The following is a 26,808-nucleotide window of genomic DNA, read 5'->3' on the forward strand; positions in this document are numbered from 1 at the left end:
CTTAGGCCATCAGAAAATTTTAAGAATTAAGTAAGGATGAACAACCAGTCGAGTGACCCAATTTCACCTGAAACATTCCATCAGGTACATAATGTTTCTTATGACTTTTTATCTCATTTAGAACTACTATTTGTTACTGTGATTCTCTTAAGCAAATGGTTTTGCCCACACAGAGCTATTCGCTCACTGACACAGGTTTAACTGGTTAAAGAACTCACAGATTGTTTCTCACTATTAACAGATATTATATTGTTTTACCATCAGTTATACCTTACTTCTGCTTCTATCTTTAGAACTGCAGGCTTCGGTCATTTTTAAAGTCGTTCAAGTTTAGATTGCATTGACATTAAATCAAATTATAGAGGACAAACAACTATGTATTTTCACTGAGGTAGACACAGTAAAAAGTTCCCAGGCTTTCTCTCCTACTTTTAGATAGGTCTTTTTCAGAAGCTTCCTAACTCCCTAAGAAGTCTGAGAGTTATTACAATTTCTTTATCCCCTGCTTACATATCCCATGCCATAGAAAACCGTTTAATAGAACCTACTGTAGCAGAGGCAAAATTTCACCTCTGCTCTCTTAGAGTCCCAGGTAGACCTGATAATGAAATTGACATAAGATAGATTAATAGGAGAAAAGCACATAACTTTTACATGACACAGGAGCCCTCATAAGGAAATGAAGACCCAAACAAGTGGCCAAACCTAAATGCTGTTATACTTGGTTGAACAAAGAGAGGCAATTGTGGAAAAGTAACTAAATTACGTGTGAAGACTAAAGGAAGATCAATAAGAATATTTTAACAAGGTCTGTGTGTACAGGATTCTTCTGGCTATGACTCCTTGTCAAAGAATGTTTCTTTTCTCTTGGTAGTAGGAGAGCAACTTTCACATGTGAGTTTTTATCTCCTGTTTTCAGGGGGAAGAAAAAGAAAATGATTAGACTGCCCTTTTTGCATCTGCTGTTATTCAAGTGCCCTTAGTTCAAACTAATCCTTATACCAAAATGGCATATTCTGGGGTGCATATTCTGCCATCCTTCAATATTAAATAACAGAACATATGCTTACCTATGTACCAGCTATTTAATTTCTGGTATATGCCAAACAGAAACGTGTATGTGCGAGCCAAAACAAATCTACAAAAATGTTTCTACCAGCATTATTTGTAATAGTCCAAATGGAAAACAGTCCAAGTTTCCATCAACAGAAGAATGCATACCTAAACTGCCATATAGCAAACATATAGTGAAATATTATACAGCAATGAAAATGAAACAGTAGTTTTACTGTTACAGGCAACAATATAGATGAGTATCGCAAACATTTATGTGGAAGTTACATGGATATATTCAGTATATGAAAATTCATCACACTGAGCAAATGATTTTTATGTTTTTTCTACATTTCTATTAAACCTAACATAATAGCTTCTACAAATATAATTTTTAAAAACATGAGTAAAGAAACCAAAATAAGAATTATGATCATGACAATGATGATGACAGAATCTTTCCTCTGACCTCAGATAATTGTCACCAGCCTATTTTCACAAAAGTACAACCCTCCTTATTGGGCATTAGAATTCAGAGTCCTGGTTTTAACAAACTGTTCATATGGCTGGATATCTAGCTCTAGTCACTGGGAGACTAAGGCATTTGACCTCCTTCCATACAATGACTAAAGGGACACAATGGGGTGTGGTTGGCAGCACCTAGGTAAGTAAATAATAATGTTCTGGGGAAAGGAGATTTTATGAAGTTTTGGTCACCTTTCTGAGAAGAGTCCATTCTTCTAGCTCTCCAAGGGAAAAAGACAGGATCCCAGTTATTATCTCCCAAATGGCAATATTATCTGACCAATTTTTGAACTTTATACAAATGGAATCAAGTCATTCAGTATGTACTCTTTTTTAATTGATTTAGTCAACATTATGTTTATTATATTCATCTATATTGTTGCCTATAGCAGTAAAACTACTGTTTCATTTTCATTGCTGTATAATATTTCACTATATATTTGCTATATGGCAGTTTAGGTATGCATTCTTCTGTTGATGGAAACTTGGACTGTTTTCCATTTGGATTATTACAAATAATGCTGGTATAAAGATTTTGTAGATTTTTTTGGGCTCATGCATATATGTTTCTGTTTGGCACATACCAGAAATGAAATAGCTAGTACATAGGTAAGCATATGTTCTGTTATTTAGTAGTGAAGAATGGCAGAATATGTACCCCAGAATATGCCATTTTGGTATAAGGATTAGTTTGAACTAAGGGCACTTGAATAACAGCAGATGCAAAAAGCGCACCCTAATCTTTTCCCTTTTTTCCCTGAAAACAGGAGATAAAATCTCACATGTGAAAGTTGCTGTCTTTCTGCCAGGAGAAAAGAAACATTCTTTGATGGGGAGTCACAACTAAGAGAATTCTGTACACACAGACCTTGTTAAAATAATTCTTATTGATCTTCCTTTAGTCTTCCCACATAATTTAGTTACTTTTTCACAGTCGTCTCTCTTTGTTCAACCAAGTATAAAAGCATTTAGGTTTGGCCACTTGTTTGGGTCTTCATTTCCTTATGAGGGCTCCTGTGTTATGTAAAACTTACATGCTTTTATCCTATTAATGTGGTTTAGTGGTGTCCCCACCCAAATCTCATCTTAAACTGTAGTTCCCATAATCCCCATGTGTCATGAGAGGGACCCAGTAGGAGGTCATTGAATCATGGGTGGGGGGTTACTTCCATGCAGTTCTTATAATGGTGAGTGAGTTCTCATGAGATCTGATGGTTTTACAAAGGGCACTTCCCCTGCTTCGCTCAGCACTTCTCCTTGCTGCCACCATGTAAAGAAGGACATGTTTGCTTCCCCTTCCACCATGATTGTAGGTTTCCTGAGTCCTCCTCAGACCTTCAGAACTGTGAGTCAATTAAACCTCTTTCCTTTATACATTACCCAGTCTCAGGTATGTCTTTATTAGCAGCATGAGAATGGACTAATGTACCTATTAATCTACCTTATGTCAATTTCACCATCAGTTCTACCTGGGACTCTATGAGAGCAGAGGTAAAGTTCTGCCTCTGCTACAATAGATTCTATTAAATGGTTTTCTATGTGATGGGATATGTAAGCAAAGGGTAAAGAAATTGTAATAACTCTCAGACTTCTTAGGGAGATAGGAAGCTTCTGAAAAAGACCTATCTAAAAGTCGGAGAGAAAGCCTGGGAACTCTTTACTGTGCCCACTCTCGGTGAAAATATATAGTTGTTTGTCCTCTATGATTTGATTTAATGTCAATGCAATCTAAACTTGAACGACTTTAAAAATGACCAAAGCCTGCAGTTGTAAAGATAGAAGCAGAAATGAGGTATAACTGATGGTAAAATAACATAATAGCCATTAATGGTGAGAAACAACCTGTGAGTTCTTTAACCAGTTAAGCCTGTGTCAGTGAGCAAACAGCTCTGCGTGGGCAAAACCATTTGCTTAAGAGAATCACAGTAACAAATAGTTCTAAATGAGATAAAAAAAGTCACTCTGGGAGGGTACACAGTGACTACACTCTTGGTGAGTCTCCAAGCAGGTAGATACAATTACAGTATAGAGGAAAATGTAAGATTTTTGTGAAAGGAAACTTTGATCTGATACCTTAATGCTAGAACTTTTTTGAAAAAGTAGTTAATGACTCAATTATGATGGCAGTCCATTGTCATTCTGTAAAAATTCATTAAGTATTCTATGTACCAGGCATTGTGTTAGATGTGATGATATAATGGTAAACAAGAGAGACACAAAGCCTGTGCGCAAATGAGCCTACAGTTTAGCAAGGAAGACAGACAAATAAGCCCAAACAATTAAGTGTACAAATGGGAGCACATGGGGAAAATACCAAATGAGCCTATAGCAGGAATTAGGGAAGTATGTTCCATGGCTTTCTGCCAACAGCAGAGAATGGTCTTGGCATCCATGATAAGTGGGGGTGAGCGGAGGGAAAGACCAAGCCCCAGGACAGCACACTGACCATTCCAGGAGCCAGCATGGGTGGCCCACACACATGGAAGAACTACAGCCCAGACAAGCAGGGCCGCACCAACAGAGGGACCCTGCCAATCAACTCCTGAGAAACAGGCATTCTCACAACTTCTTGAATCACCTTAATACTCAGAGTTTGTGCCATTTTTAAGTAAGAAAAGAAAAACATTTTGGACTACAGAAGCATATATGGTGTTTATTAATATTTTCTTTGAGCAAAAGTTTGTTCTGGGACATTTGAGTCCTTGCTAGCCAGAACATTTGCAGCAATTTACTAAACTGACAAATGGAGAGATAAGCCCAAAAGCTACATGGCCACAGGGAGATCAACACATCCATCCAGTACAGATGGATCAGGAGTGAACTGTCCCTTTCAGTATATTTGACATGAAATTCCTCACCTACACCACTGTTGTATTGTATATACCATTAATAGTAAAGGTGAATAAATACATAAATAATAAATAACTAGTAAAGGTGAATAAATGGTCTGTTTTGTTAGTTACTCAGCAAATATTTATTGCATGTCACCAAGTGCAAGGACCAGGCTAGGTTCTGGAAAGAACTGGGAAATTATAAAAGCAAAGATACTGATCACAGGCAGCATAACAAGGTAGAAAAATACATGCACTTTAGAGCTCAATCACCTAAGGTTTAATCTCAGCTCAACTTCTTACCAAGTCAGTTGCCTTGGGTCTGTTACTTAACTCCCCTGAGCCTCATTTCCCTGTCCCATAATGTGACAGTAGAACACTACCCTGAAGTGTTCTGCAGGATTAAATGAGGTAACATATGCAACGCACCTAAGAAAAGCCCTGCACCAGAATTTACTTATTCAGAAGAAGCTGGCCCCCAGGCTCTCTCCTACCCCTCCTTCTCTTCATGCCAACTTATTCTTTCACTGAGATTTGCAAACTTATGTATGGACGCCATGGTTTCTCATTCATTCACATTCCCTGCCCCTTGGCCTCCCTTTGTGTGGAACGCAAACTTCCCCCTGAAGGATAGACCTGTGTCTTGGTTTTGGACTACCCTGGCAGGAAATTCTAGAGTCCAGATACCCAGACCATGGCTTACATGGGAGGGTTAGGGGATATGATTACTTGGACTTACAGAATGCTCACCCTGTGGGGAAGGGGAAGGCAAGAGGAGGGTTTAATTAGGATCCTCTGAAATGCAGGGCTGGGCAGGGAATATTGTTGCTCAAGTCTAAGGGCAGTATGGTTTAGAAGTAAATTCTATGGGAGTATAAGAATTTTAAGGAATAGTCTTTCTACCAGACTATTTCACTGATTGTGTTTCTACAACAATCATCTTTCCTTAGCTACTCTGCTTCAGTAGCTATTTTATAGGAATGCTACTCATGTTCCTGCCTTTTCTTGCTTTGAAACTCACTCTGAATCTCTAACAAGTCCAAGGTCTTGAGGTGCTTGTTCATTGTTCTGTGCATCTCACTCTAGCTGTTGGATAAAAGAAAATATTACCTAAACCGTATTCACTGTGGTTGCTGTTAGTGTGTGGATTTAAATAACTCTTCCAGCTACTATTAAACATACTTTGTATAATGACAACTTAGAGGTGGAAAAAGTTCTAGAAATTTAAGCCTAAGTCCAAACATTGAATTTTTTTTAAAATTTAAATTTAAAGTTTAGATTCAGCGAGTACATATGCAGGTTTGTTACAGGGATACACTGCATGATGCTAAGGTTTGGGCTTCTATTGATCCTGTTGTCCAGATAGTGAACATAGTATCCAAAAGGAAGTTGTTTAGCCCTTGCCCCCCTCCCTCTCTGTTTTCGGAGTCCCCAGTATCTATTGTTTCCATCTTTATGTCTGTGTGTGTCCAGTTACTTATAAGCAGCTACCACTAATAAGTGAAAAGATGGGACATTTGGTTTTCTGTTTTTCACATTAATTCATTTATGATAATGGGTTCCAGCTGCATCCATGCTGCTACAAAGGACATGATTTTATTGTTTTTATGTCTGCATAGTATTCCACACTGCATATGTACCACAGGGAAATGGAAGTTATAAAATTACAAGAAAAAAATCAACAGTATCCAAATTCTAATAAAGATTATTAGCTATCTTTATAGCCACAACCACATAATTGACCAAAATATATTCACTCAAATTTATAACAACAGAATTATTAATCACTCAATTCAGTGGCCATATGTAGCTATGGCTATGAGTTATTTATCACTCAGTGGTTATATATAGATATGGCTATGAGTCATTTTAAAAAAAAGAGCCTTCTCTCTGTCAAGGAGACATGATTCATCGAAAAGTCAGAAGCAGAAGAGTCAAAATCCCTAACAGAGAAGTCAAAGGGTAGAATATGCTGAGATCAGGAATTATAATTCATGCTCTGTGCCAGGATAATCCAGGTATAGCATCCTGACATCCAAGGGGCATATGCAAAGCTTGGTGCAAGCTGCCCAGGCCAAGGCTGGCTCTAAGGCAGATGCAGGAAGGTCAACCAGCTGGCTGGTTAAAAGGAAACGATGACCTTCCTCTAGGTCTCTTCATTACCCTGATATATTCTCCTTGTTCAGGGATAACTAGATCCACTTAACTCTTCTCCTACAAAGATTCATTCATCTCTTCTCCTAGTTCAGGTATGACTCGCTCCCCTCACTGATTCACTCCAGGGCTCATCTTTAAAATACAGATGCAAACAGGCTGAAATATCCCCAAGGCTAACAGCTTAAAATATATTAAAGATGAATAAGTGCACCTGGGGCTTCAAGGACTAATGCCATAAAACTGTCATCATTTCCCACCAAACGTTATTTCACCCACTCACTTGATGTACATCTGTGGCCTGTTCACACTGCATATGGCTGTGGACAGAAAATGCCTCAGTTCAAAACTGACACAGTGGGTCTGGAAGAGGCTTCTGCTGTGGCTTTCTCTCTCTGGTTTTAGCTCCGAACCTTGTCACCCTAACATAAGGACGATGAACAAGCCCACGTGGAGGCTCAGAAGGTTCCAAATATGGTTCCAACTCTGTGTCTGACTAACTAATGTGTGGCCTGAACAAAGTATTATTTAAAAATCTAAAATGCCAAAAGCAACTACTCTATTTCTGCTACATTTAAACCTGTCAATCACGCCCCAAACTTCTACCAGCTTCCTCAATTCACCACATGCATTATGTGTGAGCTGCATCCATCCACACCTGTTGTTACAACTTTCCATTTGATTGCAAATAATTCCAATTCATCATAACTCACAAATCTCACCCATTTCCACAAGCAAACTTCAGGTTTTTTTTCAACATGAGGTTGAAAGAGAAGAGGGAAAGAGTGGAGGAAAAGGAGAGAAAAGAGAGAAAAAATACGGAAATACACAACGGGTCAATATCAAGTCCAGATAAGCTTTCTTCATGGCTGTCACACACAAAAGCACTGTGGCTCTCAGGGTCACCCTTTCTGTCCTAGCCACAGTGCCCAATCACTGATTCATTCTCACAATATCAATCAACACACAGCTTTGCTGCCATAACTGGATGTAGTCATTCCTTCCCAATGTCAATGTCTATGTGTTTTTTCTTTCTCAATCATAATATGATATCAAGGTCTCTCCACATTTCTGTTATCTGGATGTCTTCCTAATTTTATCTTCTTGAAGACCTGGTTATGTAAACAAGTCCTGTATACATCATGAAAAGGCAAATTCTGGTAGCCCACATTCAATCATTATTGATTACTAGTGCCCTACTGATAACTCCTTCTGATTTGATAACAACTCACCCCAGCCTGACTCCCAATGGACCCACCTAATAATTATCATCTTCCAATTTGAGAAGCTAATAACATTAACTTGTTCATCTTGTCAAGCTAGTGAGTAAGGGAATAGAATAATTATTGTAAATCACATTACAGACCTCAGGCAAAGTTCATCGCAGTGATCCCAGTAGCCACAGGGTAATGTCTCTAAGCATCAGGATTTCTGAGTCATCTCCTGCTCTGACTTCATGCCTAGCCCTTCTGCCAGAATTACACAAGATGTGTCCTCTAATTCCCCAGTTATAGAGTCCCTGTGGGTCCTTTATCCCATTGTGGGTAGTATTTCCTATTTAGGAGACACAAGCCCAGCACACTCAAGCCACTGCCCCCGAGAGCTGCTGAGTCCATTCAGCTGCCAGGATGGAAAGAACTCTGAAAGGGAGGAAACTAGTTTTCTTGTAAACTTGTGTTTTACCCTCCCAGTTGTTCTTAATGAGGCTAAGACTCCCCAAATAAGTATAAAGAGAAAAGAAGGAATAAATACGATTCTAGATTTCCTACCCCTGTTTCCATAAGAGTAATTTTGCCTTCACCTGCTTTATTTTGTGCATTCCATATAATTTTTTAATGGATTCCATTTACAACCTAATGATAGTCTGAAAACAGCTGAACAGGGTGACCTTCTAGTCCCAGTCTCCTATATATAGCAAAATACACCAAAGGCCTGTTCTAGGAGTATGAGCAGAAGAGACAGCCACCTGTATGCAATGTGATTTAAAAAATAAAAGATGCCTACCCCAAATCATCTCCTTCCCATGCTCCTTGCAATTTCCAAATTCTTCACACTGTCAGAGATAAAGGAAGCCAGACACTAGTTAAAGTGGGGAGGACAGATTTGAACCACTAATACGCTATTGCAATAGGGAAGGGAGTGCAGTGTGAACTGAACTCAACCTTGATTTGCACAGAGGAGACTGTGTATTTCAGAAGAGGAATGAGAGAGTAGAAAAGGGAAGGGGTGAGAGCAGGCTCAGTGAAGTCAGAGAGTGAAAAATTACAAAGGGTTGGTCAACATTAAAGTTGATTAGACAATTATGGGAGTTAGGATTCTATCTGCCCAGATACCAAAAGACAGAGGCCCTCTCTCTCCTGATGGTTACTTTTTAGAAGAATGGCTCTTGGGTCCTTGAGAAAGACACTCTTGAGCAGTAGGAAGTGCATATATTTATCAAAGGTTACAGGGCAAGGATTCACAATTGTAAGCCCTTTTTAGTAAATGCTCTAAGAAAGGGTGGTTGGGCCTAGCTCCAGGGTGTTGGCTAGAAGAAATAGTAAACTCTCCTGGCAACCTTGAGCTTCCTCAGGCAGGCATCCTAAGTGGGGTAGGGTAGTCCTAGGGATGTGGCCTTGAGCTGTTAGAAATTATTCTAGTGTTTGTGTAAGTCTTTTAATGTGGGGCACGAGTGGATGAAATCATTGGTGTTGAGAATCTGTAGTTGTGATAGGAAGTTAAGGCCTAGTCAAGAAGGGGGTTCAGAGGAGCATGGCTAAAGTTTGGTAAGTTAGAGAATCTTTGTCAACACCTAGAAACCAAAGATGCTATTTTTAAGTCATTAACTGATAGCACTAATATGTCAAATAATTTTAAACTTGTGTCCCTTTACTGATATTAAACTATTATCAAGCAGCTTAGCAGCATGGTCACTTGGTCAGGGCTCTGGGGTTGGAGACAGCCTCACAGGGTAGGTTATTGGAGAGCGAGGAAAAGAATGAAGAATTCCAGACACAACTGCTACCACTCCGACCAAACACTGACAACTTATTTCCAAGTAACTGTCCTGCCAAGCTTGCTTTAAAACAGAAAGGTAAGACTTATGGTAGTATAAACAGTGGACTTGCCAAAAGTCTTTTAAAATAGTTTATTCTTTTATGTAGAGTAAGAAGAACCCACTTGGAAGTTTCTTTCCTTGGCATTGCTCAGTAAGCCCTTTTGTTCCAATAATATATAGATAAACTAGAGGTCAGTCATTTTAATTGTTACCAACTTGAATTTTACTGTAAATATGTGTTTGTGGCATGGCTATCCTGAGAAATAGCAAGTACTCACTTTGATAACTCAGCAAAGGTTCATTTTCTTAAGGGTAGAACCCTAGTGTGTGCTTCCACCTTTTCCACAGACCACATCCACCTATTTCAGGGTGCCCGTGCTTCCTGAGTCCCATTCCTCCACAACACAATTTGGCTGCAAGCTGCCCAGATAGAACTGGTTTATAAACTGGAAAGCCAAGAACTTCAGTCTTCAAAGCAGGCTAGCATATGCTGTTCATGTACAAACAAGTGAATTCTTACTTCATACAAAAATCTCACTCCCTCCTCTCTTTTTAGGTTGTCACAAAGTGTCTGAATGGCTGAATGATTCTGTTGATAGGATCCATGGTCTCTTCTTGCAGTTTCCTTCTCTGTCTGCCAATTTCACACTTACCCTCAATTCTAACAGTTCCCACACTGGCAATACCCATCCAGTGGGGTTGGGTTGGGTTGCCAGATAAAATACAGGATGCCCAATTACACTGAATTTTATATAAGTAATGGATAATTTTTAGTATAAATACATGTTATTTTAATTTCCTAATTTCAGCAACTCTATTCCTAGACAAAAATCCACTATCCAATTATTTTATCTTCCTGGTGTATAAAACATTATTCTGGAAAGTTGTAGAACTATGATAACTGCTTAAAATATAAATTGATAGGCTGGATGTGGTGGCTTATGCTTGTAATCTCAGCACTTTGGGATGCCAAGGCCGGTGGATCACCTGAGGTCAGGAGTTTGAGACCAGCCTGGCCGACATGGTGAACCCTGTCTCTACTGAAAATACAAAAAAAAAAAAAAAAAATTTAGCTGGGCATGGTGGCAGGCACCTATAATCGTAGCTACTTGGGAGGCTGAGGCAGGAGAATCACTTGAACCCGGGGGGTAGAGGTTGTAGTAAGCTGAGATTGTGCTGCTGCACTCAAGCCTGGGCAACAGAGAGAGACTTTGTCTCAAAAAACAAACAAACAAACTATATATATATATATATATATATATATATATATATATACACACACACACACACACATATATCAATTCATAGATCAGTTGTTTCCAGGAGCTGAAGATGTGGGGAGACACTGGCTATAAGAAGGAGGGAGAGCTTTTGAGGGGAGGTGATCAAACTGTTCTATACATTAATTCTGGTGGTATACACATGACTATATGCATCTGTCAAAACTTATAGAACTCTACAATAAAAGGGATGGATTTTACTGTAAATAAATAATACCTAAATAAACCAGACTTTTTTAAGTGGAAAATAAATGTACACTACTCGGTATCAGACGGCCCTCACACATTTCAGACACCATTTTATTCCTCCCTTAGTATCACCAGAGTAAATGCCTCACAACAGCTATTCTATTTTTTTCATTCTCCATAGGTTCACAATTCCAACACCACATCTCTCCCTGCAAACAGATTTGTTCAGTCACGCAACCAGAGTGTAATCTTAGCTGGATCTGGAACTATAAAGATGAAAATAGAGTTCCTACCAAAAAACATTCCTCATGGGCTAGTAGGCAAACAGAAACAAATAATAATAAAAAAAAAGACATACAATGTAAAAAAAATCTGTATAATGGGCAATTATAAGATGTTGTACTGTACAGAGGAATAGTAAACAGTAAAGTCTCTTCAATAACTCAGGAAAAGTTAAAAATGCTGGAGTTCAGCCTTCAAAGCAGGGAGTTATATAGGTAGATAAAGGAAGGTGAGTAGCCGGAGAAAAAAGGCAGACGATCAGCTGCACAGGTGGGTCAGCACAAACGATGAAAGCCGTTGACACTCAGGTGCTGTGGGAATTCTTGCTTGCCGTAACAGAAACCGGCCTTGGCTAGCTGGAGGAGAAAAAAGTAGACTCCATTGGAAGGACATGCAGGTTCAGACTCAGTAGAAGTCTTCATCACTAAGGACAGAAAATGAGCAAAAACCCAGGCGCGCAAGATGCCAAGGAGCAAGAATCACGACCACTATCCTGTAGCAAGAATTACAGCCAGGACACTGCTGCTGCCGCCGCCACTGAAAGCCAATGGGCGCCACCACTGACACCAACAATAAGTTCTAACAGCCTCTTGACCTTTAACCCATTCGCTCTAGAGTCAGAGTCCCAGCCTGAGTCACATGGCTATCTATGAGCAGTGCCAGGGGCTGCCAGAATGCACAGGGAGGTAAGGACAGCCTCTTTCCAAGGTTCCATACACACGACATGTCCATGTGACTCGCCCGGAGGTCCCTTAGTAGCCGTCTCTTTGGCAGATCCACCTTCGAGGTATGGAAGTGCTTGTGTTCAAGGAACTCTTAGTTTACTTAATAATGGCCCAAAGTGCAGGAGTGGGGATGCTGGCAATTTGAATATCCCTAAAGTGCTTCCTTTAAGCTAAAAGGTGAAAGTTTGAACCTAATAAGGAAAGAACAAAAATTATATGCTGAGGTTGCCCCTTCCCAAAATAGGAGAGGGGCCTGAATCCCTAGCACCATTAGTATCCAGGGGCTCTATACGACAGTCCCCCATTATCTGCAGGGCATATGTTCCAGGACCCCCAGTGTAGGCCTGAAACTGCACTGATAGTACCAAACCTAATTGCGGTCAATCAGAACACATTTCTGTTTATGTCTTCCGCCCACAAATTCAATGCCTTTTTTATCTTAGCTAAGCACTTATTGCACACTGTGGCCATAACCTTTGCAGATCAAGGTGCAACAGCAAAACTGGCATGAATTTCTTTTTCCCTCTTCACATCTTCATGGATAGAAGATTCATTTTTAGCATAAACCTTGGCAACCTCAGCATATAATTTTTGTTTTTTTCCTTATTAGGTTCAAACTTTCACCTTTTAGCTTAAAGGAAGCACTTTAGGGATATTCAAATTGCCAGCATCCCCACTCCTGCACTTTGGGCCATTATTAAGTAAACTAAGAGTTCCTTGAACACAAGCACTTCCATACCTCGAAGGTGGATCTGCTAATGAGACGGCTACTAAGGGACCTCCAGGCGAGTCACATGGACAGCATGGACATGCTGGACAAAGGGATGCTACACACCCCAGGCAGGATGGCATGAAATTTCATCACACTACTCAGAACAGAATGCAAATTAAAACTTACGAATTGTGTATCTCTTAAATGTTCCACTCAATATTTTCGGACACGGTTGACTGCAGGTAACCGAAACCACAAAAAGCCAAACTTGAAATAAAGGGTGCCTCCGGTAATATGGCCTGTCTGGTCTTTCTAACCTGGATTTTCCCCACTGGAAAGAAAATCTCTTCTCCAACTCTGTGGGTCTCATACTAGCACGCTTTCGGGACGTCACATTTTAGGCTGAGTAATATTCTCTGTGTGTCTTCTGGCTCATCCTTCCAACTCGACATGTGCTTTCTGGAAGCAGTTATTTCACGGCAGCCATGTGTCTTTCTATTCCCCCTTGTGCTCAGCACACTGCCTTCCACAAACTAGCTGCCTAATGCATGTCTGTGTTCTGCATGGATGTGTTCCGAGGCAACTCAGCATGTGCAGTTGGAAATGTGCCGCTTTTATTTGGCAGAGTCAAATCTCCTCCAAACCAGACCCTTTTATTTCAGCTCACAGAAGATCCCTGCCCTAAAGGCCTCTGCCTTGAACCAAACCTCAATAAGCCAGATTATAAACCAGCCAAAACCACCGGAGATTATGTCAATGTGCATGTGGCTTTGGAGCGCCTAAAAACTGGCACAAAGCATCAGGGAGGCTGCCAGTGAGCTCTCTGAAGAAAGCAAAACAGGGATCCGGGCCCACGGCGCGATGTTCAGGGAATCCCTGCTTACAGCGCCTTTTCAGACATTGCATAAGCTACAGAAAAGCAAAATCTGTGAATTATCTGTCTTTTAACAAGCCAAAAGAACCTGTACAGCATCCTATTTTTTTTTTTTTATCTAGGGAAAAGAAACAATAAGTTTCACTAGGCTGAGGAAGAAAAGGGATTACATTTGTGGAGTGGATAGTCTTCTCATCCCATTTAAACACAGAAATATTTAAAGAGATTGTAATGGGAATTTTATCTCAGGCCTCAGATGTTACCCTGGTATAATAGTTTCTCCTTTCATCCATGACTAGGACATGGTGATGCCACAATCCTCCCACATCTCCAAGAAATCATAATAGCCTTCTTTCCTGACAAAGTTGTTGAAGAGGAATAGAAGAGAACACAGACTCATTATGTCCCTTCACAAAGCAGTCACATCATTTAAAAAAAAAAAAAAAAAAACCACAAGTACTCTCATTTGCGGCCAAGTTCAGGCCTTAAATAAAATTTACAGAATAAAGTGGCTATTTAAGTGGAGTTTTATTAATATTCCAGCAAAAGAGATATAATGAAAAAGCTACAAAGTTCAGAGAAGAGTTTAAACAATCCAATTACATATAAAGACAAATAATAATAATATGGATTTTCAAGGACATTGTCCTCAGAAAGGGGCATAAACACAAATATCAGCCTTTGTTCCTCTGTATGTAATAGAAAAAAGAAAAAATAATTTCCCAGTCTTCCATTTCTATGAGTTTTTATTCGGAACTTCTGTTATCTCTCAGTAAGTAAATGTAAGAGTATTCTCTAGAGAGCTGTTTTATTATACAACAAGTACACCATAAAGAGCCATGCTGGCCAAAAGTAATGCAAAATGGAAGTCGAGTCAGACTTCCCTTTCACTATGATTTGCCATCCAGTGAGTCAGAGCAATATCTTGAAACTGTTCTGAATGAAAAATGTTTGGTTTTTTTTTCTTCTGTTGAATTAATGTTCATGCTTCAAAGAACAGTAGAAACTACAAAACTCTAGAGCCACAGAGATCATTAAACCCCTATTGCATTACAGGAGAGTCAACTTGGTTTAAAGTAGTCAAGTGGCCTACCCAAGGCATGGCACAGAGCCCAGGCAGGCATCCAGGCCTCCTCTCTCTATCCCTGGGCTCCTCCTGCTGCTCTCCAGTTTTCTATCCATGCCACGGTGACTGTGACCATGCCCTTTCACAGAAGTGGCCACAGGCAGATTCTGAAGCACCTTTGTGTAGAGCCTGAGAGCAGGTTACAGTGGTCAGTTCATGCTAACCCAGAAGTGGAGCTGGAGGGGTAAGGAAGAGCTATGGTCACCACTCCCCAGGTGTGTGACTCAAATCTGAATATCAGGATTAAAATTCCTGAAAGATTGTAGACAAGCCAAATGCCAAGTCCATTTAAAGACTCCAAACACAGCACCTTTCATACTTACTACCTTGTTAATACTTAAAACCAAGAGAAGAAGCCCATACACAGAGCGTTTCCCAAGCAAAAACACTGTGTTGCTATTACCCTGCCTTTAAAAGGGCACCATCCAAGGCCAAAATTAACCTCAAAGAGTGTAGAGCCACATAAGGATGTACAAAACTCAGAACTATGCACCAGATTGAAAATGTAGTAATTATAGGATGCTGGAGTTAGCTTGCCAACCAAACACAGACCCATCAGCCCTCCACCCCACCACTGTCTAATCAACATGAATTTACAGGCAAAGAAGAGCAATAAGCAATCCACTCACTTAAGTTAAGGAGAGAAGACTCCATGAGGCTTAACTTCTGCAAACCTCTTGCAAAGCAAATGCAAGAGAAACAGTTTCAAACTATAAAATGTTTGCTTCCTTGGAACAAGTAAAGGACGAATGTCATTTTCAATCTCTGCTTGAGAGTGACACAGGACATGGTCAGAACTCTGTGATCATGGAAGACAGAGAAGAATAAGTGAGATGACTTGATACTTGTTAGGCAGTCTGCTTTATAATCAAAAGGCTCATTTCTTTTTTCTAGAGATTGGTTTTCTCAGCTGTAAAAGGGGAGACTGAACCAGATGCTCTTTAAAATCATCTCCTGCTTTGACCATTTTTTTGCATTTACTTCTTTCCCTTTACGCTTTATTGTTTAACATTTACAATAAGATGTCAACATTACCATGTATTAATAGTAGTGGAAGGTGCGAGCTCAGTCCAGCAGCATGATTTTGTGACCGTGGGGGAGGTTTATAACCTCTGCGTCAGTATCTTAGTCTTTAAAGTGAAGCACCTGTCTCATAGGGTTGTTACAAGTTCCTATATCACATCAAATGAGAGAATGAAACCAAAGTGCTGGGAACAATAACTGACGTGGAGGAAAGCTCAAAAACTCTTAGCCATTATTATCTTTTATTATTACTTAGTTGGGATCTGGTCTTAAAGGTGAAGAATACAGAACCAGAGAAAACAAGACAATGTTTAACTCCTTGAGATCAATAAATGTTATTTCTGAGAATAGGATAATCGGAAAACCAATGAAAAAAAAAAGACTGACAATATTCCAAAACTTAGAAAAGCTGCTATTTTTCATACTGGTAAAAGTCTCTCAGAAGAGAAATTCCCAAGGGCTCAGCAAAATGCTACAATAAATAGTGCATTCTCAAAAGGGGAGCAATTTAAGAGGGCACTTTGGCAAAGCCTCGTGACTTATCTGGATGGAATTTTTTAATTTTATGTCTATGCTTCAAAATAGGCAACTATGTGATTATTCCTGGTGGGCCTATTAAGGCATCTTGTCAAGCTTCTATTCCTTTAAATTTATTAATTTTAATGCCATGCTACAGAAAATACCAAAAAAATTAAATATGTATTCTTTCAGTTTTGCAGGACAAAGCTAAGCTCAACTCTAAAGGGACTAGGATATGTAAGGAAATCCTAATTTTAAAATCATTAATTTTAAAGTTAACTTCCAAGGGTCATTTCCCACAGGGTTGTGAATTTTTATCATGCTCCTAAAACTGCCTGGATTCTTTAGAACATTGCGTGGCTCAGTTCTTGTCATCAATGAACTAGGTCTGCTGACTCTAAATGTAATCAACGCAGGGTAGATGAGAATGGAAGGTGGAACACCCCTGCCTCACCAAACACTAAAAATGCTGAAATGACTAGCAACCTGACCACAGCAGGGCCCGGAAAAGGGCTGTAATTAGAAACAATCTCATAGCATCCAACCTGTAAAGTACATTCACAAAGAGATGTTGCTACTCTGCAAATGGCACCAATGATGATAACAATGATGATGATGATGACGATGATAATGGTAGTGTCTATTAAGCACATATCTTCCAGGCACTGTTCTAAATGCTTTAGGCATAATACCTCTGAGGTAGGAATTGTTGCCTGTCACACATCCATTCTTCACCTTTCTCCTTCTCTGCTCTGTATTAAAGAGAGGCAATGCAGAGTCCCTTGTCAGTTGACTTCTGGCTGTGTTTGGCTACAAGACTGGAGGGTCGAAAGATGGGAACACCAAGATATTTCTCTCCTCTCTCGGTGCCTTGAGCAGAATCTCTACCATCAAAAAGCTTTCTCCCATGCCTCCTCCAGTTACACCATAATTCCAGTGACCTCAGTCTGTGGACCCAGTAACACTGTCTCCAACATATTGTCCCTTCAAATTAGAATTAGTGGATGCTTCCTGCTATTGCTAATATTCGGGTTGTTTAATGACCCCATTTGGCTTTTCAGCTCTTCCCTCAGCTGCATAGCCAATTAAATTCTCTCTGGTTCAAATACTTAAGATGACTCATCTTTTTTTTTTTTTTGGACCATTATCATCCACATTTTCCAAATTAGAAAATTGGGAGTAGTTTGTCCAGGATTACAGAGTTATAAACTGGCAAATTTTGAGTCCAGTGATTCTTAAGTCATACCTCTTGGCCACTACATTATATTGCCTCTTCTTAATGAGACAACATAACAATAGGTTAGACAATAAAAAAGGTTAGAAGTATATGAAAAGGCTCCTATCTACCCCTGCTTCATGAACAATGATCCTCCACATACTTGCTATCTTGCTGCCAATCCTTCTCCAACGGACATAGCAAGGGGTTTTGTATGGACTGTGAGTTTCGCTTTGCTAAGGGATCTAAGTTTATACTTCAGTCAATAACAATAGAGCTCTCTATTCGTTAGTTTTGGTTCTTGATTTTTTTTTTCTGGGCACCTTAAATTTCCTGTAACAAAGTGAATATATCATGACCTTCCTTAACTAGGTATCAATCTCTTATAGAGTAGAAAGTTATATCAATGGTCTATTAGACAAAGGTATAACAGTGACCAAAATGAAGGACCCATAAAGCCTTTCTGATTCTCTACTAAGTACTCTTTCCACAAAACATTTCTCTTGCATTTTATCCTATAACCTATGCAATAAAATCTTTATGCAAGAATTGTTCAAATTTTCACCAACTACCTCAGTCTTATTACGAAAGCAATACAGGAGCTAAGTAGCACACAAGAGATAAATAGTTTAAACACACACACGCAAACAGATGAATTTACTCAATTTTAATTGATCTTATTATCTATCCAAAGATTTTTTAGAAAAACACTCATCTATATAGTCTTCTGTAAAGAAGTTCAACAAAATTCCAACCGCATTTTGACATAGTTCATTCACTATGTTCATCTGCCAAGATTTAAAATAAATTATATTGATTTTCTGATTATTAAAATAATAGACATATTGTGGAAAAAGTGAAAATACGAAGAGTATAAAGGAGAAAATAGCAATAATTATTCAAATCCTAGAGATAATATTTATTAATACTTTGACTTTTTTTGCAATCTTTTAATTTTTTGTCTTTTTTTATGTAGTTGAGATTATACTATATACGTATTACATACACGTATATATAGTTTTAGGTCTTACTCTCTAAAAAATTAACATTATATTATAAAAAAGGGTGAGTTCATGTCCTTTCTAGGGACATGGATGAAGCTGGAAACCATCATTCTCAGCAAACTATCGCAAGAACAAAAAACCAAACACCACATATTCTCACTCATAGGTGGGAATTGAACAATGAGAACACTTGGACACAGGAAGGGGAACATCACACACTGGGGCCTGTCGTGGGGTGGGGGAAGGGGGAGAGGGAAAACATTAGGAGATATACCTAATGTAAATGACGAGTTAATGGGTGCAGCACACCAACATGGCACATGTATACATATGTAACAAACCTGCATGTTGTGCACATGTACCCTAGAACGTAAAGTATAATAATAAATAAATAAATAAATAAAGGGAGAGAAAAGTAAGAAGCAATGAAAAGAAAATTAACTATTTGATGAGCATCTAAAATGTGTCAGGAATTACTAAATAAAAGAGCTCTTCCCTCTCCAAAAAAAAAAAAAAATTAACATTATATTGAAAGAGTTTTCCTTCATCATTTAAATAATCTTACTTATATTTGTTAAATAGTTGCATAAAACTATAGCAAATGAACCTGCCACAAATTATTTATACCTCTACTTGAATATTAGGTACTATTCAACTTTTTATTATTAATAGTATTTCTGCAACCATCCTTATGCCAAGATGACTGAATTTCAGATTTTTCTCTAGGCTAGATTCCTAAAATAGGATAAATTTCTAAAACTGCAATTACTGGGCCAGGAGAGTAAATATGTTCAAATGCCTGAAACATATTATCAAACTGTTTTCCAGAATAATCCAAATTTCTATTTAAATGATAAAATCACTGAAGCATTTCTAAAATATGTTCATAGTCTCTTAACAAACCTGTTTTCTTTTTTATAAAAAAAACCAAAGCTTATATCCGTTGAGTAAAATTCAAAGCTACTCATTCAGTTAAGAACTTTAAATTTATCACTACTGTTTTCTTCTACTTATTTTATTTGGGTTTGTAAAAATCTTTAAAAATACATATGCAACATGCATGAGTTTGTAATCGATTTTGAATTTGCCAGGATGAACTTTTCCACTTTCACAAGGATTATGGTAATGATGAATAAGTTTTTCGTTTATCTTATTCCTACTGACCTTCTTAAGAGAAATTCAACTGGAAAGTTCTCCTAGTGCTGAGTGGCTCTGACAGTCCAGAGCATGTCAGATGTGGGTCCTGCTGGTGACATTCTAACATAAGCTGAAGAAAGCAATCTGTTGACATTCAGAAAGCAATAGGCAGAAAGGAAAGCTACAATTTTCTATGTTCACCTTGTAGAATTTTAGAAAAAGTATTCAGATGCTGTTCTCTAATACTCAAATTACCATTATTTACTGCCTCTTACAAAAATGACAGGAAAATTTGTTCAATCCATTTCCCATGGTTTTGCAAAATCTCTAGCAAATTGCCAGTCTAATATTCATGGTTGTGCCCAATCTACTGGGCAGTAGCCATGACTCATGGTGAGATATTAAGCAACAGCCATGATGCAGGAATCAGAATGTGCATCCCCTGGCCTCAGCTCTGCCACTAATTGTGGGGTCTGAGCCACTCACAGCAACCCAGAGTCTCGGTTTTTATATCTATAAAATAGAGTCTGGAATAAAGGGGATAAACACTCCTATTTGCTCTTACATTTCATGATTTTGATTCCTTAGTAAAGCATTGTTTTTCAATGCTAATTAAGTATTCTTCCCACATTTCTATAACCCAGTTCCCCTTAAGAACAAAATTCCAATGATGATATTCTGCCAACTTTGGAAATGACACTATATAGGCTAATTATTTAAATCATTAATTCATTCCACAAACAATGCATTGTTCTTAGTAATGGGCTTGAAGTGATGAACTAGAGAGAAGAGTTTCCTGCTCCTACAGAGCTTATATTCTGAATTGTAAACATGTGAACAAATAGACAAACAAAACAATTTAAGGCAGACAATTAAACAGGGTGATGGGTTAGAATGATTGGGTGATAGCAAATTTGCTATTTTCAGTAGGGTGGACAGGGTAGGTCCTTCTGAGGAGGACACTTAAGCTGTGAACTGAATGATGCATAAGAGCCAGTGTGTCCAGGACATGGGCAGAAAGAATGTCAAGTGCAAAGGCCCCAAGCAGGAATGAGCTCCATTAGTTCAAAAAACAGAGAGGGCCAGTGTGGCTGGAAGTTAAGGAGCAGGAGAAAGAGTGGGTAAGAAAGAAGATTCTTAGGAGCCAGATCATGCAGACATTTGTAGAAAACATAAAGGGTTTTGCTTTTAATCTAAGAGCAATGAAAAGCTGTGGAAGGTCTTAAGTAGGGGACTGACATGATCTAAAGTATACTTTAAAAGATCACCCTGACTGTTGTGTAGAGAATAGGTTGCATATTTTATTTCCAGCAATATACTAGAAAGGACTCCCTGTTCTCTCACAGAAATATTGAAAATACTAGTTTTGGGGAAAAACAACAAAAAATGCTGGATAAAATATTCTAAAATATTTAAATGCAGACATGATTTAGAAAGTAAAGGACATGCCCAGACACCAAAATCAATGAGAAAGCACAAGTCTAGACAGCTAAAAGCACTACTGAAGCCAGCTGCTATCCCGATAGCTTCAGCCCACCTCTCATACCCTGGAAGAGTCAGCTACATATAATTCCTTGCACACTGAGAAGTTCACCTGCCATGATGGGAAAAAGTAGAACAGAGGAAAGAAAATACAAAAGCTATCATGGTGCCAAATTGCAAAGCGAAAACTCAGGATTACACAAAACCTCCATAGAACTGTAACCTGGACCTGGTATTCCCTTCTCAGTTGTTTTCTGCCGTTTTTGGAGTAATCACAATCAGCCCAAAAGATTAAAGCTGGCCTTTGAAATTAAATGGGCATGACCTAAATTATTGCCCGCCTACTTTGCTGAGGTATATGCCCATAAGCCCTACAAAGGACACAATAAACACTCAAGTGTTTCTTAATTTGACTTGTCTCAGTGAAACAACAGAAGTCTTGATACTGTCCCTTGGCCATGGGGAGAGAATTCAGGGTGAATATAGGGTGAATAAAAGTGTTCAACATGTCTTCCCTTCAGCCAGCAAATTCCTTTCAGTTAGCAAACAAGAACCTGGGGAGCAACACTCAGCAATGATTCTATGATTCCTTCTTCTTTTTCCATTGTTTCTCCTCACAACTTCTCATCTGATGCTCCAAACACAGAAAAAAAAATCCAGGCAGAGTATTAGGAAACATGGATTTATGGATTGCTCCCTGCAAACTAATATTAAGTTTAAAAAATGTCTCTTGAACCAGTAAATCTACCTCTGAGAACTCAAATTTTAAAAAAAACTCAAGTATGGAAATGGTCTATATATAAAAGTATTCCACACAGTATTAATTAGTCTTAGTAGAAAAAAATATTTGAAACAGCTAAGTGAACTATGACACACTTGGTAGAATCATTATATATACATTAGAGTTGAAAATTCTTATGAAATAATGTGAAGTCCAACTGCTTAAAATTTCATTTTTAATATGATGACTTTCATGGAACTCTAGAATATTTGTTCTTTTTTTGCGGCTTGCCTGTATATTACAAAAATTATTTAAGGAATTGATATTACTTTTATAACTGAACATATATTTTAAAGACAAAATATATAAAAACAGAAAATGCATACTTTAACTTCAGTATCCTAACATTAGATAAGGAATGGAAAGAAATCCCATATACAAATTTTCTTTGAAAACAGAATCTGTAATTTTATTTTGCTAAGAATGAAATTGGGGACCACTAGGAAAAAGAGGTTAATGCTTTTAATATTAATACAAATAGTGTCAATTATCATGTAGATACAAAGCAATATCTTCAAGGAATCACTTTTCCAAGCTGTATGTAAATTACTAAATTAAAACCTAATACCACAAAGTAAATTTGGAATCAAATAGGTAAAATGTGATATACAGTGGAGCATAGCACAATAGGAAAATGTTGAATGCATTAGGATAGAGCAATGACAAATACTAGTGAAAAGCCAATTGCTGTTTTTCTCACATGCAGACTATAGTTAATGCACTGCCCCAGCCACTGAACACATCTGACTTAAGCTGAAGGAACTCTTGCATGGATATTTTCGTATTAAATACATGAAAGAAAAAAATTCTAACTGAAATAAAACTAATGTAATTTATATTACTATTGTTAATTAAAATGTTGAGGCTTTCCTAGTTACGATGAATAAAAACAGATCTTACAATTACAGACCCCCACATCTAAGGAAAATCAAATAGAGACTGAGTGTATTTCTCAAGGTAGCAAATACTTTTTATTTTCCTTTTTCCTATTTGCACCATTCATCAGTAGGGCAAATTTAAAGATCGAATCATGCCACTTTAAACTGTTGGCATTTACTATCTAAGGCAGAATTAAAAGATTTCATTTCAAGCCAAAGTCCATGAATACAAACGTCAATCCAATCACTTACTTGGGCTGGAAGAAGGTAAGAGGACTCTTTCTGAAATTTATAAACACAATCCCAAAATAAAAGTTTCAAATGATGAAAGCAGAGTTTTCTCAAGCCATTCTTTCCAACAGAGCTGATAGACCCTGATTTTTTTTATATAGCAGGTAAGTAAATCCTAAATCCTAAATCTTTTTGAGGTTTTCGTGTCTCTTTTCTACATTAACATTAAAGTAATTACAAAGTGAATTTTTAAGGGTGGCAAAAATATACATGCATGTATCAGTACATGTTTTGAGAGGAGAGTGGATTGGGAAGCAATTGTGTATACTTCTTGTTTAAAACAATGTAATGCCCACTTCATGAATTCAGATAACAACATCAATGAACAGATTGCCAACCAGTTGGAATACAGGCCTAGGTTTTGAACCACTTGAATAAGCCTCCTAAGTAGGTTACAGAGTCATTCATGGAGATTATAGGGAAGGATTTCAAATAGCACCATCTGTTAGAACCAGCACCCTGAAAATATTACCCTAGCCAATTATCACTTCAAAATACCACAGGAGTTCACTCCACCTGTGTTGGAACAACTTGGCTACAACCCATAGTTACATCCTGGTGTCAGCTTTGTAAACCATGGCTCAGGTTCGAGCCTATCAGTCAGTCTTGAGACACCAGCTGCTCCTAGGTGCACTTCCGTGTCTTCCCACAGATGACTCCTGGCAACCTCATACTGGACAAGCCTTCAGGCTTTCCTTGTCAAGATCTTTTCTTCTAGGACCTCAACTTTAACCTACATCCTTTCTCATCTCTCCAGGCTAGGAGTTCTCCACATACTCTGCCCACCCTGATAGCAACTGAGGTAGGCCAGAAACTTCTCATGCACTGGTTACCTCCTGAGCCATCCACAGAAAGGGTCACAGCCTAGATGCTTACAGGTATTCAGCAGGTTACATTCAATGAGTGAAAAGTAGGCCAAACACAAGATATCAGAAATGCGTCGATGGTTGGGGGCCAGCAAATGCAGGCCCCACCTAAGGATGACAACTATTGCTCAGTCCCAGGATGTTGTCAACACGCAGGATGCAGGACAGGTGTGGCCAAATGGCCTAACTATTCAATATATATGAAATAAACTAATTTTCAGATTTGGCTCACTTTTTTCTAAAACTGTTTGGGCCAAACAAAACATCTTATTTTAGATTTTTTATGGTAATCAAAGGGTCTTGATTCGAGTTTGAGTGGCTCTAAAAACACCTAGACTGTGACCCCAAAAAGATCCCTACTCTGTTTCCTCCTCTTAAATTTTTTTCAAGAGCTTCAGCTGCTATAGGCATTTATCTGAGAACATGAGCCAAGGTTCAGAGGCTGTGTGCCAAAGAATTCCAGCTTACACCTGCTATTGTTTCAGTGGATTAAAAACTACAACAAGCAGATAAAAAGGTCTCAGGTGCCGTTGCTGATCTCACAGAGCTGAGCATGTGCTCAGGCATTTTTGGCAGTATTCTCTGAAAACCAGTTTAGTTTCCTGGATCATCCAGAAGTAAATGTGAGAAACTCCGTTTGTGGCCCTAGAAAAGAAAGCCTCAGCACAGAGCCAAAAGGCCACAGTCAACAACAGCATAGTATAATCCCCGTCTAGCTCAGTCTTATGACAGAGATCACCTACTTTATGGCAGAGATTAGAGTTGCCCACTAAATATCCACTCATCTTCTTCTCCTTTCATAACAGAATCCCATTTTTTTGCTAGGTATATTTCTGCTTGGCCAAATAGCCTAAATTTACAGGCTCCCTTGCAGCTTAGTGAGGCCATGTGACAAAATTCTGGCCAAAGAGATGTAAGAGGAAATATTGCATGGGCCTCTGGGGAAGGAGAGTACTTCTCCCTTTTCTGCTGGCTGGAAATCAGAGATGATATCTAGTTCTTTAGCAGCTATCTTGGATCATGAGTTGATCTTGAGAATGTGAGCCATGTGCTTAGAAAATGGATAACAGAACAAGAAGGAAATTGGGTCCATGATGACCTTGCAGAATTGCCATGCCAGCCCCAAACTGCCTACTTTCAGACTTCTTTTAACATAATAAACACGTATGTCTGTATTTAATTCACTATTTGGAAAGGAATCAGTATTATTATAGCTGAATATAATTATGAAGCAATGAATAGTCTCTCACTTTGCTGGGTCATCTTTCTTCCACCTAATTATTTTATTTATTTATTTATTTATTTATTTATTTATTTATTTTTAGAGACAGGGTCTCATTCCATCACCCAGGCTAGAGTGCAGTGGCATGATCACAGCTCACTACAGCCTTGAACTCTTGGGGTCAAGCGATCCTCCCACCTCAGCCTCCTGAGTAGCTAGGACTACAGGCGTGCACCACCACACCCGGCTTTTTTTTTTTTTTCTGTAGACATGTGGTCTCTCTGTGTTGTCCAGGTTGGTTTCAAACTCCTGGCCTCAAGTCAACCCTCCGCTTTGGCCTTCCAAAGTGCTGGGATTACAGGTATGAGCCACAGTACTTGGCCTTTTTTATCTTTTTAAACTCCTATTGTGAACTAAATTCTCCTATATACTCAAAATGTTTCTATCACACCTCCACCTTAACCAATACATACCATTCTCCCTGATAATACAAATTTCCTCCCAAGGCACAGTAGTGAGCCTCCTTTTTGCCTGTCTATTCAGCTTAGCATGGCTCACAGTTACTGGACAGTTTGCATTTCTCTCTTCTCTCTGGAGACTGACTAGGATGCACAGTCCTTCTAGAAGATGATGCTCCTGACCCATCATTACTAAAGAATTTTGAGAAAGTATTTTCTGCCACTTTTCTACACTTTCTCTCTGCTCAAAAGCAGGTAGTATGATGAGGTAAGACCAAGAGCGAAAGCTGAGGCCACAAAAGAGAGTAAAACTAAATGGCTTACCTGGTGATAGGACCCACTGCTTTGGCCTCTAATTGGCCCTGTGCCTTCAGCCATAGAAATAAGCAGCCTTAGACATTAGCTAGAATATTGGTATTTTCAATCTCTAGTTTGAATGACAGGACCCTGAAGGCAAAACATTTCCTGTGGAGATTCTGCATTTCTGCCTGCTCTTGCTTTTATAGCTCAAACAACTCAATTTTGTTGGGCTTCAAAGTACAGTTCAAGGGATATTTTATAAGGAAAATTAATGGGCCTGGGGATATCACCAGTGTAACTCATTGATTAGAGGGAAAATATGGAGTACGTGTAAATATTCTGTGATGGATTTGAAAAAGACACAATTATAATTATATTTGTGATTATTTCTAGTGGTACTCCCACAAATGTCCATGAAATAACATAATGCTCAATGACTTGACATTGAAACAATATGTAGGAAGCATGTGTTCCAATGGGATATTGATTATGGCTCAACTAAAGATAACAGAATCTACTGTAGCTATTTTAAGAAGAAAAACATTTAAGACATATAATTAAATGGCTTAGAGAATCACTGGGGAGGGCTGAATACATCTAAGTTGAGCCTTCAGAAATAGTTCCCAAGCAACACCACAGAAATGGGCTGCTGGAGGAACTGCTGCCTCTTCTGGGATCAGGAAGCTACCTGCCACCTTGGGTCACTGCCAGTTCCATAACCACAGTGCTTTGCCACAGTTAGAAAGCAAACACCAGCAAGGAAGCCAGCGGATCACTAACCACTTTGATCCTGGGACCACCCAATCAGGAAGCTGCTGACCCCACTGCTACTGCTCTCAGCTC

General features: G+C 38.7%; 1 protein-coding gene across 12 annotated transcripts in view; it reads right to left on the minus strand.

Moving 5' to 3' along the window:
• PDE4D (phosphodiesterase 4D) overlaps positions 1-26,808 on the minus strand; it is a 1,553,091-nt gene that overhangs the window by 1,357,477 nt on the left and 168,806 nt on the right. The window contains exon 2 of one of the 12 annotated variants that reach the window (XM_017009566.1): positions 8,568-8,616. The exons of the other annotated variants lie outside the window; for them this stretch is intronic. The gene's annotated coding sequence lies outside the window, so the exon portion shown is untranslated. The remainder of the gene's footprint in view (positions 1-8,567; positions 8,617-26,808) is intronic. 12 annotated transcript variants of the gene reach the window in all.

This window comes from Homo sapiens, chromosome 5, assembly GCF_000001405.40.
Source record: "Homo sapiens chromosome 5, GRCh38.p14 Primary Assembly".
NCBI classification, from domain to species: domain Eukaryota; kingdom Metazoa; phylum Chordata; class Mammalia; order Primates; family Hominidae; genus Homo; species Homo sapiens.